The sequence below is a fragment of the Homo sapiens genome, chromosome 3, assembly GCF_000001405.40.
Source record: "Homo sapiens chromosome 3, GRCh38.p14 Primary Assembly".
Taxonomy (NCBI): Eukaryota; Metazoa; Chordata; class Mammalia; order Primates; family Hominidae; genus Homo; species Homo sapiens.
The window spans coordinates 195019685-195033324 of record NC_000003.12 but is presented as its reverse complement, the minus strand read 5'-3'; the positions used below and the strand labels follow the sequence as shown (position 1 = coordinate 195033324).

Sequence of the window (13640 nt, the reverse complement as noted above, 5' to 3'; positions counted from 1 at the left end):
GATGCCTAAGAATATATATTTGATGTTTTGGCATTGGATCATCGTCTGCTCTACATACAGAATTGTGTAGGTAAGCGAACAGCTTGATGCATCTGCACAGACGGAATGCACTTGCTTAACCACTTGGTCATTTTTAAAGTCCTGATTTATCAAAATAAGATTTTGTCAGGAGGGAAAGCCCTACCTGTGGGTACAGATCAGAGCCCGTGTTAGACACAAGTCCTCACGCAAACTGGAAGGTAGGTTTAACTGTCTCCTGTGTACAGAAGAGGAAACGCAAGTTTAGACAGGTGGGGCCGCCTGGCTCGTAAGTCCGGGGGGCTGAGACTCAGCCCATTCCTTTGCCTGCAGGTGTGCTTGGAGGTCCTCGTTCTGTCCAGCTAGGGATCTGGGCATGTGTCTTCTTGGGGTCAGGCAGCACACACTGCCCACTTCTTTGCTGGGAACATTCTCAGTCCATTGGGAAAGCAGGGCCTACATATATCTATTCTCAGGTGACAGGTGGCACCTACCAGTCATCTGCTCTCCCTCCCCATCACCTGCATTGGGCTGGTCTACCACTCAACATTTAACGACAGTATGGCAAGGGCGCTGGCCAATCAGAATGGCACCAGGCATATACAGTCCTGGAGCAGAGGCCTACAGCCCTGCTACATCAGTCACCACCCTTCAGTGGCTGGATGGTGGAGAGGAAACCTTCGGATAGATGTTGGGCTTGGTGGCGGGGGAGGGGAGAGAGGCTCTCTCAGGCTCAGCAACTGCACAGAAGTACTTCAATATTTCAACAACTAGCCTGGGCACCCTGGTGCTTCCTGAGCCACCGTCAGCTCTGATTGGAGATTCTATGTAGAACAGATCTGTTCCTCGCTCCCCAAAGAGCTTGGAGCCCAGCTAAGGAGACAGGCTACAGGATGGCGATCAGAGAGAATCGCACTTGGGTGTCACCTGGTCATTTGTTTGTCTGTCCAAACATCAGGTACCGCAGGCAGCCACCTGTCAGCTACCTAGATGATGAGTAGCAGAGGGCCTCTGTCATTGGGAGTGCACTGTTTACAAGAAGAAAGAGGCATTTGAACAAGTAACCACAGCGTTGTCTTTTGTTTGGGTTGATATGCTGGACTGGAGATCCCTTTAGAGCATGTTTTTGGGGATTACAGAGCCTTCGAGCGTTACAAAATCATCTTCTCTAATTCCCTGTGTTTCAGATGAGGAGACCCAAGTTCCCAGAAGAGCAGTTGCACACTCGAGGCTGGAGGACATGGGCAGAACCAGAGCTCCTTGCCTCCCTCCCAGCCCCCCACCCAAGTAACACGTTCCTGATCCTGTCCTGGAAGCAGCTTCGAGGAAATGCCCAGACCCCTGGGGGGTGATGTGGTGGCAAGGTGACAAAGGGGCAGGTCACAACGCTGTCACAAGCTGATATGCAAGAACTCACAGGCATGACCCCCAGGGGCTATGGGTGTAAGGGCATCTGCTCTGCCCTTTCCAGCGGGCCTAGTTTTGGTGGCCTCTGTTCCATTTATTTGCTTAGGAACACAAAGCTGAATGCACTGTTTGCAGGAAGTTGTATGTCTAAGTCACCTAAGTTAGTAAAATAAATAAAAACTTTGGAGTTTTGGAATGGCCTTCAGGTGCCTTCCACATCCATTTCCCTGGAAATCCCTGTTTCCTGTCGGTGTCTGATAAGGGATTTTTCAGGAATTGAGCGGAGCTTTTCCAGGAGATGTCACATAAGAAACCTCACCCTGGGTTCCCAAGGCCCAGTTACATTGTAGCTAAATCACAGATTTACCAAAGTATACAGGGTCCTCTTTCTTTACCTCCACCTGGACACTTTTTTGAAGGAAAATGGATTTTGGATGTAAGCGCCTCCGCGATTGTTCTATGCTCCCGGGGTCACAAGACTCCTTGAAAGCAGAGGTTCAGCAACCTCTAGCCAGGTTCCCCACACAGCTGGGGGGCTCTTCCCACCCTAAGGGGTGATCCATTTGCCAGGGAGACTTGGGACTGACTCAGCCCCTGCCCTGGCTGCCGAGGGACCCTGCCTTTTTCTGCCGAGCTTGTGCTTACGGGGAAATTCCAGGCTTCTCCGGAAACCATCTTAACTGCCTGGAATCCTCCTCTTGGACTTGTCTGGGCTGGCGCAGTCCTGGGAGGAAAGGAAAGTAAATAAATGTAAATCTGTTTGATCACAGACAGAGCATTTATCTTTCAATAGGAAGCTTCCTGAGGAAGGACAGCAAAGGGGTTTGGAATGAGTAAGCTCAAAGTATCAGCCTGCGTACAAGATGCCCTCGGGGGGAGCCTGGCTATTGTGGCGCTGCGGTCACACTGGGCCAGGCCCCTGCTGAGGCCCAGCACTGCACAGGCACCCGGAGCCCTGCCCTTCTCCCTCAGGGCACCCCAGGGCAGTACCGCCCTCTGGCCCAGCTGATGGGCCGGGCCAGGCTCCCCTGGCTTCCCAAGTGGAGGAGGAGGAAATGGTCTTTGCCAGCAGGCCAGCCACCCTCGAGGAGAAGTGGGGTCTTCTTTGGGGCTGTGGAGGCAGTGCTAGGAGTGGACGGAAGGGCTCAGAGGCCAAGCTCAGATGTTCCCTATGGCTGAGGTCCCTGACAAGGATCCTCAAACAGGGAGAATGCTGGTACCCTTCCAGTTTGGGCCTGGGTGTCACTTACCTGGGACACTTGTCACATCCCCTTTAAATCTCTGTCCTTGCCTGGCTCTGGCCAGAAACATTCCAGGGCTTGTTGATTCTGAAGAGCAGTAGGGTTTCCAGGGTTCTCTCCTGAAGCTCGGGGATATCCAGTGGCTTCAGGGTAAAAGCCTGTTTGCTAACCTGCTGCACAGCTGGTAAAAAGCCATGGGTCTCTCCCTTAAACCCAACCCAGCAGATGAGGTCTACTCTGGAGGCCCGAAAACACCTTAAACTCATCGCACAGAAAACCGGCGCAATACTTGGCCCCTCTTCCTTTTTCCCGACCTACAGTACCCCATCCTTCAACCCAGAGTACCCCATCCTTCGACCCACAGTATCCCATCTTTCCTTCTGCTGGATGTTGGAGGACTCAAAGTTATTCTAAATCTCTACAATACTCTTAACATTTTAAATCCAAATCCAGGCAATAATTCAATGTTCCAGCGATGTCCTTTGTGACCCATTCATTTCAGTTGATTTGGTTCTATTGATCCTTTTTTTTTTTGAGACAGAGTTTCGCTCTTGTTACCCAGGCTGGAGTACAATGGTGCGATCTCAGCTCACCACAGCCTCTGCCCCCGGCGTGAAGCGATACTCCTGCCTCACCTTCCCAAGTAGCTGGGATTACAGGCACGTGCCACCACGCCCAGCTAATTTTGTATTTTTAGTAGAGACGGGGTTTCTCCGTGTTGGTCAGGCTGGTCTCGAACTCCTGACCTCCTGTGATCTGCCCACCTCGGCCTCCCAAAGTGCTGGGATTACAGGCATGAGCCACCGCGCCCGGCCGATCCCTTTTTTTCATTTGTTCATTCATTCATTCATTCATTCATTCATTCATTCCAGACACATTACAGCCACAGAGGTGAGGAGGATTCAGGTCCTGCCCGCAGAGACAGTTGCACATACAGCCAGCCACACAAGGGGCAAGAAGTAGTCTGTGCTGGGCCACAGGGGCAGCTCTCAGGAGGCTCTGTATTGACTTCACGCCCACGCTGTGCTACATTCATCACAAATCTGACAGTATGCAACAAAAAGCAGGCCACAAAATAATGGATGGTATTAACAGCAGAGTCAAGATGTGGGAAAATGGAATAAAATGAGCTCTCCAGGTACCATCTATTTTTTAGAAAATGGAATCCATTCATTCAGGAAGCTTGATGGATAAATGAAGTAGGCCAGACAGGGAGAATACAAATAGCAGCAGCTCCTGTGGGAAGCCTGCCAGCCCCTCGCTGAGTGCATGATCTACACCATCACATCATCCACTGAACAGCCTGTGAAGTTGGTACTCTGATGATTCCCATTTTACAGATGGAGAAACCATGACACAGGAATGATGTGGCTGGCTTACAGTCACAGAGCTAGAGCCAGAACTCAAACCCGGGTCTGTCTCACTCCGAAGTTTCTGCTAATGACAGCATGGAAAAGATTCCTCATTTCCACCAGCTTCCTTTTAATCAAGGCAGATTAGACATTCATGCATTGGCTAATCTAGGCTTTGAGTGTAGTGACGTTTATGTAGTGCCTACAAAGCAAGATTAGCCATTACACGTTTTGTCGTTCTGGAAACTGACTCTTGGCAATTCCCAGCCAGGCTTTATCTCAACATACTTCCTGAAATCTCAGGCCATGTGTATTTTGCCTACAGAGTGGCTCTGAAAATAAAGTAGGCTGGAAGTCAGGTGACTGATGTCATCCTGGACTCGTAGGCGATTAACAGTATGACCTTGGAGAAGTCACCTTCCTCTGGTTTCAGTTTCCCATTTGAAAATGCAAGAATTGCAGCCATTCTACCACTAGGACTAGAAGAGACGTACCTGGGCATTAAGAGGCATGCTCAGTGGGAACAGAGGTGGGTGGATTGCCTGAGGTTAGGAGTTCGAGACCAGCCTGGCCATCATGGTGAAACCCCGTCTCTAGTAAAAATACAAAAATTAGCTGGGCATGGTGGCGTGCACCTGTAATCCCAGCTACTCAGGAGGCTGAGGCAGGAGAATCGCTTGAACCTGGAAGGTGGAGGTTGCAGTGAGCCGAGATCGCACCACTGCACTCCAGCCTGGGTGATAGAGCAAGACTCCATCTCAAAAACAAAACAAACAAACAAAACAAAACAAAAAAACTCACAGAAGCATGCCCAAGGATGCTCATGGCAGTGCCGCCTGTGAGCATGAGAAACGGGAGGCCACCTGTGAGAATGGAGAATAACCCTGGTGACCATATGTGGCAGCAGGTCTCCAAGTCAATCCCTGTGATCTCCACCTCCTGGCATCCCCCCAGTGTAGTCCTCTTCCACACTGAACCAGGGAAGATCTGCTTGACCAACAGCATATGGCAGAATTGTTACCAGTGGAAGGTTGGAAGGTATCTGAGTTACCAGCGGTGAATCCGTGTGGGTCTGCAGCAACCTCAATTCTTGCCTCCTCAGAAGAAAGAATTTGACTGACGGGCCTAAGGCTGAAAAAGAGAGGAAGGCAAGAGGAGGAGTGGAAGGTTTTTATAAAGCCTTTAGACCAGGAAAGAAAGTACACTGGGAAAAGACCCCAAGCGGGCGACGTCAGAACAAGTGCAGCGTTTAACCTTGATCCGAGGACTTTCTGGGCTGGCCCCTTTCTCGTGATTCTCACCTTAGGGTGAGCTGCCTGCATGTGCAGTGCCCTCCTTACCCTTACACAGTGTGTATAGGAAGTTGTACACATACCCACCTGAGGCTTTCTTCCCTTTTCTTGTGGGGTGCTCCCAGAGGGTCATACTCTGCCATTTTGTCTCTTAATGCACCATGCCTGGGAAGTTGTGTCTCCCTGGCACCTGCATTCAATGAACACTTTAGTGCAGCAGGTGTGGTCCATGAGGAAATGGCCTCTCCCTGGCACTGGCTGCCAATTTATCACTTTTAGAGAGGCAGTGTGATCATTGCCAAACCATCACCCAACATTCCCCCAGAGCCCTCTCCTGCCCTGCTCATGCCTGTCTCACTACCTGTAACAGAAGGAATGGCATGGCACTCCCGGGCTTAGTAAAACCTAAGCCGCTTCCATCTTGGGTTTTCTCTCTCCTTGCTCTTGAATCCCTTGCCCTGGGGAAGCTGCCTAGTTGTGAGCAGCCCTGTAGAGAGGCCCACGTGGAAAGGAATTGAGTCCTTTAGCCAACAGCCATGGGCGTTAGCCATCTTATCTGTGGATCCTTTAACCCCAATCAAGCTTTCAGATGACCACAGCCCTGCCAGCTCAGCTGCAACCCCACGACAGGCCCTGATCCAGAACCACCATGAGGGGCTGTTTCAGGGCTCCTGATCTCAGAATCTGTGTGAAATAATAAATTGTTTTTGTTTTAAAGCTGCTAAATTTGGGGGGTAATTTGTTATCCAGCAATGGATAACAAATACACCCCATACTATAGGATATTATGGAGCAAAGAGTGGAACAGGTCTATGTGTACTGATACAGAAAGATTTCTGAGATATGTGTTAAGACACCCTTAGAATGTGTTGTTAGAAAATAATAATTACAAAAAAAGATATACGGCTATATATCTTTTATGTAAAATACCACAACTCACTATACTTTTATGCATTTACATATGCAAGTAGATATGTAGCAAATTACCCATCATGTAGCAATGATGAACATCAATTTACCCTCAGTAAGAGAGTCAGAGGAAGGTGCAAAGTGGAATTTTCATTTTCTATTCAATAGATTGCTCTCTCTCTCTCTCTCTCTCTCTATATATATATATAATATATATATAATTTTACCATGATAATGTGTCAATGTATTACTTATACTCAATTTAAAAATTCTTTAAACGAAGGCATTTGAGTACTTGATCACTGAGGTCTCTTTCAACTCTGGTGTTTTATAGTTCTATTAAAATGTCATTGGAATGTAAATTAAAAGAATGGGATAACATTTATCACCTCTTTGTTGGAAAACATTAAAAGTTTGATAAACCAATGTTGGCAAAGATGTGCTGGGATTTAAGGGGAGGGCAGGGCTGGCCTTTGAATCCAGTTATATTGACTCCCAAATCTAGGGCCCTTCCTGTTATTTTACCTTTGTGCCTATAGTTTACATGCAGGTGTCTGTGTTAGAGGAGCTTGTCTCTGGTGGATATATATATGTATATATATATATTTTTTTTTTGAGACAGGGTCTCTCTCTGTCGCCCAGGCTGGAGTGCAGTGGCACGATCTCAGCTCACTGCAATCTCTGCCTCCCGAGTTCAAGTGATTCTCCCGCCTCAGCCTCCTGAATAGCTGGGGTTACAGGTGTGCGCCACCATAGCCTGGCTAATTTTTGTATTTTTGTATTTTTAGTAGAGATGGGGTTTCACCATGTTGGCCAGGCTGGTCTCAAACTTCTGGCCTCAAGTGATCCGCCCGCCTCGGCCTCCCAGTGTCCTGGGATTACAGGCATGAGCCACCGCTCCTGGCCTGGGTGGACATTTAAACTGTGGCTCCTTGGAGCTCCCTCTGTTTTTGCTGAGGACAATTTCTCATTTCCCATTACTTATAAGAGACAGGCTCTGTGAGAGCCTCCAATTTGCCAGCTGCTTCCACTTCACAGAACAAAATCATCCTGTTGAACTCATCAGTCTGAAACTACTTCCACCTCTGAGCTCCGGGGCCTGGTCCAGCCCAACTAACTTGACTGCCGAGGGCTTTGCTCCGTCTTGGGATGGCTGGGGCCTCCCTCACCTGACCTGGGTGTTCAGCTGTGATGATTGAGCTTCGCTGTCATGAAACTTCCCCAGAGTTGGTGCCACGCCTCCCCCTCCCTCCAGCTTGCCACACCACTCGGGCTGAAGGATCTGCCTGCCCAACCCCGAACATTTCATCTTGGGTTGGTCTGCATAAAGACGGCCTGGGGAAAAAGTGATAGCATCACAAATTATACACAGTAAAATGCCTCTGCATTATCTCGCTTGGAGAAAGAAATAACTGATACTGGCCTAAGGCTTTGAACAGGAGTTTTATGGGGAGCTAAGAAGAGGGGTTCTCTGGCTTTGCAGGAGAATCACCTGTGCTCCCCTCTCCATTCTGACGGAATGGTCTGGGGGCTTGGGCATGGGTATTGTCTGAAAGTGCCTCAGATGGCTTTAATAAACAGCCAGGGTTTGAGAACATCTGTATTGGAGGGAAATGTGAAAAGGACATTGAGGTCAAATGGATGGGATTAATTATGTTTGCTAAATCAGGAAACTCTCTAGAGAGGGAAGTGACACGCCCACCGTTTTGCCTACTGTTGGAAAATTAAAGTTTCATCTTAACAAGGGCCATCTACACTGGGCTGGGTGTGAAGGCAAACTGGGATGTCAGGGCTGTAACGAGAAGCAGAAGAGAGGGGCCCAAGTCCCAACCCGTAGCTCCTGGGAGAGAAGTTGTGGGAGCCCAACATGGTGAAACCCTGTCTCTACCAAGAAACAAAAATTAGCCGGGCATGGTGGCGGGCGCCAGTAATCCCAGCTACTCAGGAGGCTGAGGCAGGAGAATTGCTTCAACCCGAGAGGCGAAGGTTGCAGGGAGGCGGAGGTTGTGGTGAGCCGAAGTTGTGCCACTGCACTCCAGCCTGGGCAACAAGAGTGAAACTCCATCTCAAAAAAAAAAAAAAAAAAAAGATAAAAGTGGTGAGGGTGTGGAGAAAAGGGAACCCTTGCTCACTGTTGGTGGGAATGTAAATTAGTACAGCCATTATGGGAAACAGCATGTATATTCCAAAGAACATGGAAAACAAGGCCGGGTGCAGTGGCTCACGCCTGTAATCCCAGCACTTTGGGAGGCCAAGGCGGGCGGATCACAAGGTTAGGAGATCGAGACCATCCTGGCTAACACAGTGAAACCCCGTCTCTACTAAAAATACAAAAAAAAAAAAAAAAAAATTAGCCAGGTGTGGTGGTGGGCGCCTGTAGTCCCAGCTACTCGGGAGGCTGAGGCAGGAGAATGGCGTGAACCTGGGAGGCGGAGCTTGCAGTGAGCCGAGATCACACCACTGCACTCCAGCCTGGGCGACAGAGTGAGACTCTGTCTCAAAAAAAAGGAAAACAAAACTACCATATGATCCAGCAATCCCATTACTGGGTATATATCCAAAGGCTATGAAATCAGTATGTGGAAGAGATACCTGCACTCCCCTGTCTGTTGCAGCACTATTCACAATAGCCAAGATATGAAACAACCAAGTGTCCATCAACAGATGAATGGAGAAAGAACATGTGGTACATGTACACAATTGAATACTATTCGGCTTTAAAAAGAAGGAGATTCTGCCATTTGTAACAACGTGGATGAACCTGGAGGACGCTATGTTAAGTGAACTAAGCCAGGCACAGAAAAACAAATGCTGCACAGTTTCACATGTGCAATCTGAAAAAGTGAAACTAATGGAAACAGAGTAAAATGGTGGCTACAGAGACTGAGTGTGCGTGCGCTTGTGTGCGTGTGTGTGCACGTGCGTGTGTGTGTGCGTGCTTGTGTGTGTGCCCACGTGTGTGTGCGTGTGTGTGTGTGTAGATGGGGGAGTTGGGGAGATGCTGGTCAAAGAACACAACATTTCAGTTAGGAGGAATAAGCTCAAGAAGTCTATTGAACATCATGGTGATTGTAGTTAATAACAATACGTTGTATACTTGAAAATGACTAAGAGACTAGATTTTAAGTGTCCTCGCCATATAAAACGATAATATGTGAGGGAATGTATATCTTAACTTGATTTAGGCATTCTACAGTGTACACAGATATCAAAACATCATGCTGTACTCCATCAGTATATGAAATTCTTGCTTGTCAGTTAAAATAATAAAGTAAAAAAACATAAAAACCCTGCTGCAATTCACAACAGCAAGCACAATACATTCCAGGAAGCAGAGCAACTACAGACATTCCTCCATCTCAATGCAACACAAATACAAATGGACAATCCTAGAAAGCAGAAATGCCTATTATTCAAAATTGAAACCAACAAAACCAAATTTTAACTATTCTAACACATTTTGGAAGTTCCAAAGATCATAAGTTATAATAATGAAATATATATAATAAACATAATGAAAACCTTTATATATACTCTAATAATATATAAATATGTAAATTTAAGGAAAATCTTACTTTTTTTTTTTTTTTTTTTAGATGGAGTCTCACTCTGTTGCCCAGGCTGGAGTGCAGTGGCGCGATCTTGGCTCACTGCAACCTCCACCTCCTGGGTTAATGCCATTCTCCTGCCTCAGCCTCCCAGTAGCTGGGACTACAGGCATCCGCAACCGCGCCCGGCTGATTTTTTGTATTTTTAGTAGAGACGGGGTTTCACGGTGTTCGCCAGGATGGATACATTTTATAATATATGGGTGATGCGGTTAAAGTGTTTATAGGAAAATTTATAGTCTTGAATATTTATGTTAATAAAAAACAAAATAGATAAAACAAGTATCATACTCAATAAGTTAAAAAAATATATCCGAGAACAGAAAAAGGAATAAATTAATAAATGAAGAAGTTAAAGATTAGGGAATCTCTACATTATAAAAATGATAAAATAGGCCGGGTGTGGTGGCTCATGCCTGTAATCCCAGCACTTTGGGAGACCGAGGCAGGTGGATCACTTGAGGTCAGGAGTTCAAGACCAGCCTGGCCAACATGTGAAACCCCGTCTCTACTAAAAATACAAAAAATTAGCCGGGCATGGTGGTGGGTGCCTGTAATCCCAGCTACTTGGGAGGCCGAGGCAAGAGAATCGTTTGAACCCGAGAGGCAGAGGTTGCAGTGAGCCGAGTCCACGCCATTGCACTCCAGCCTGGGTAACAAGAGCAAAACTCTGCCTCAAAAACAAAACAAAACAAAACAAAACAAAAAGATAAAGTAAGTAATAAACCTGAGCTCTGAATATCAGGAGATGGAGCTTTTAGGTAGCTGTGTCAGGAGCTGCCCCACCACACTGAATCGTTAGGAAACCACCACACATTTGAAAAGGTAAAAGCCTCGGAGGCCCTGTTCTCTAGTTATGAAGCAATGTGGCTAGAAAACAAATCATTTGTCAAGTAAAACCACAGTAACAAGAACCTACATATCCAAACCCAAGGGATACAACCAAAACTGTACTTAGAGGAAATGGTATAGCATTGTTTATATTGTTTGATAAAAAGAATAAAAATTAACCCTACCTTTATCTAAAAAGGTGAATCTTCCTCTACCTCCCCAACAAAACAGACTTAAGGAAGGAGTCAGCAAGAACAAAATGAAGAAACCAGTAAGGCAGAAAATATTAGAAATGATAAACCATCCAAATCCCTTGAAAAAAAAACAGCAAAACCGTCAGATTTCTAATGGGGTTAACTAGGACAATAAAGGGAGACTTATCTAACATTAGACTTGAGAAAGGGTTATCACCATATGAGCAAAAGGCATCAGTTTCAAATGAATGAATGTTATGCACTATGTTTGCTAATAGAATAGAAAATCTCAGTGAAATTAGCAATCACAGATTATAGAAACAGGAGGGACACAAGGAGTCAAATAGATTTCAAAGAACAGCTGGGTAAATTTGATCAAAACTTCCAATTATAATTATTGTGCCATTTAATTTGTCCCAGAGCATAGAGAAAACATCCCATTTAGTTTTGTGATGATAGCATAACCCTGATACTCAAACCTTGATCTTCGGCTCCTCCTCTTGGACAAAGGCTCTCTCCTTAGACTTTTGGTATCTTCTGCTTGTTCTATGCATTCACTGACTTTCCCCAGGCCTGCCCCTGTTGGAAGGGGAGAGTGCCGCAGAGCCACAGCTTCAGAATCTGCTCCTTCTTCAGGATCTCCTGCCTCTGCCCTGGGGCTCAGCAGGATAATTTGGAAGGATGGGGCCTGAGCTGATGGTTTCTCTGCCCGGGGCACCTTCTCCCACCTTCTCTAACAAGACTGTGACTTATTTCAGCCTGGCAGGGGTCTGTGGGACACTTCAGCTGTGCTGGAGGGTTAGGAATGCTGCAGACACATCACCTCAATCTGGTCAGAAAAGGTTGCTTTAATGTTTTTATACTCCTAGCACTTTCAAAAATAAATGGAAGATCTCAGAAGAAAAGGTACTTTTCAAGTAGGCTGGAGGGGTAAGATGAGACTGAGGAAAAGAGGAAGCAAGTTAGCTAAAATACTAAGTATTCCTGTTAAAACTGATTCTCCAGTTTAGTTCTAAGCTTCTTGGCAAGGCATGATAAAAAGTGAAACGCAGACCGTTATGTAATAGAAGCATATTTTCTTAGGAGAGATGGTACTTTTGCTGGCACTAAATTCTAAAATTATTTTTCACCTAGAGTTTACTTAAGGAAAATAGGGGCATATATAGACAAGCTCTTCAACAGGAATCCCACAGCAAATGCAGAAAATGAGTTCTGGTTGTTTCTTGTAGTGACTGTCAAGAAAAGCCCAGAGCAGAACATCAAAGCACAGCCCAGTGAAGGGGAATCTGCAGGAAGCTGAGATCCTGTGGTCCAAACAGGAAGAGCCAAGACTATAGGGTTCACCACTGGTCAGTGGAACAATGAGCGGTGTCACTAGGGTGTGGGCAGAAGCCAGATTCAGGGGTGAAGGTAGAACTAGGCAGCCAGGACAGCAGACCTTGAATCTGTATCCAGGAAGCTGGTGAAAGTGTGGTAAGAACCTTTCAGTGAATAGCTATTTACTGTTAATTTCTCCTTTCTGGCACACAGGAGAAACATTTCTCACCTTCTTGGAGTTAGGAGGGGTTATCGCTTCTCCTATTGCCGTGAGCAGAGGAGTTCTTGCAGTGAGAAGGGAGGAGACATCAGATTAAAGCAGCCAGCAGACCGGGCACAGTGGCTCACACCTGTAATCCCAGCACTTTGGGAGGCCGAGACGGGCAGATCACCACCGAAGATCAGGAGTTTGAGATTAGCCTGACCAACATGGGGAAACCTTGTCTCTACTAAAAATACAAAAATTAGGCAGGTGTGGTGGCTTACGCCTGTAATCCCAGCTACTTGGGAGGCTGAGGCAGGAGAATCGCTTGAATGTGGGAGGTAGAGGTTGCAGTGAGTCAAGATGGTACCATTGCACTCCAGCCTGGGCAACAAGAGTGAAACTCTGTTTAAAACAAAACAAACAAACAAACAAACAAACAAAAAAGCAGCATTGCTGGGTCCCTGCATGGAAGGCAGCTACTCTGGAGAGTCACTGTGACCTGCAGTGGACCTTGCCTAAGTGAGGAAAAATAAACCCAACCCTTGTTGTGTTCGACTTGGGGCTGTTTGTTATAGCAGTGTCGCCTAGCCTATGTTAACTAAAATTGGATGAATGAGCCCAGATGGAGCCCCGGGAGAGGAACAGCAGAGTGAAGTGAGGCTATGTTTAAGTGTAGGAAAGGCCTGAACGTGTTTCTAGATGAAGGAGAATGATCCAGAAGGGTTGGAGAAGAGGATTTGCCTGGTCATTCAAATTTAACAGATGGCAGCAGGTGTGTGATCCCCAGCAAGAGAGGAAGGTTTACCTTGAGACAAGAAGAGAGCCACTCTTTCCTCGGGCACAAGGGCAAGTGAAGATGAGAGATGAGGGAGGGCAGGAGGGCAGGGAAGCTGACGGCTTTTGTCTGATGGTCTGGATTTCCTCAGTAAACAGGGAAATAGTGTTGGAGAGAGGTGGGAAGAAAGGATGGGACAGGATTTTCGACGAAGGGAAGAGCTTTGGGGTGGTCCCAAGAGGAAGACCATGGGGTAGTGAAGGAACGGAGGAGTCTGTCGCAAGGGCTCACTATGCATTTGTAGCACACTTGGTTTTTGAAAAGCTGTGATCTTCCGTAGGAAATCTCCACCTCTTTGTGGGGAAGGGACAGTCTCATTATACTCTCTTGGGCAGAAGCAAGCTCCCATCCCTGCAGCTATTGAAGCAGAGCATGTATAACATACTGACAGGGACGTGGTGAAGGAGATCCCTGAATTGGATAGACAAAAC

General features: G+C 46.8%; 2 annotated features.

The window, feature by feature from the left end:
* Nucleotides 933-1931: an enhancer, noted in NCBI's record as "H3K27ac-H3K4me1 hESC enhancer chr3:194752123-194753121 (GRCh37/hg19 assembly coordinates)". NCBI's record gives its function as "activates a minimal SCP1, AML or CMV promoter by ChIP-STARR-seq in naive H9 embryonic stem cells {active_cell/tissue: H9 hESC(naive)}" and the evidence as "EXISTENCE:reporter gene assay evidence [ECO:0000049][PMID:30033119]".
* Nucleotides 1932-2929: an enhancer, noted in NCBI's record as "H3K27ac-H3K4me1 hESC enhancer chr3:194751125-194752122 (GRCh37/hg19 assembly coordinates)". NCBI's record gives its function as "activates a minimal SCP1, AML or CMV promoter by ChIP-STARR-seq in naive H9 embryonic stem cells {active_cell/tissue: H9 hESC(naive)}" and the evidence as "EXISTENCE:reporter gene assay evidence [ECO:0000049][PMID:30033119]".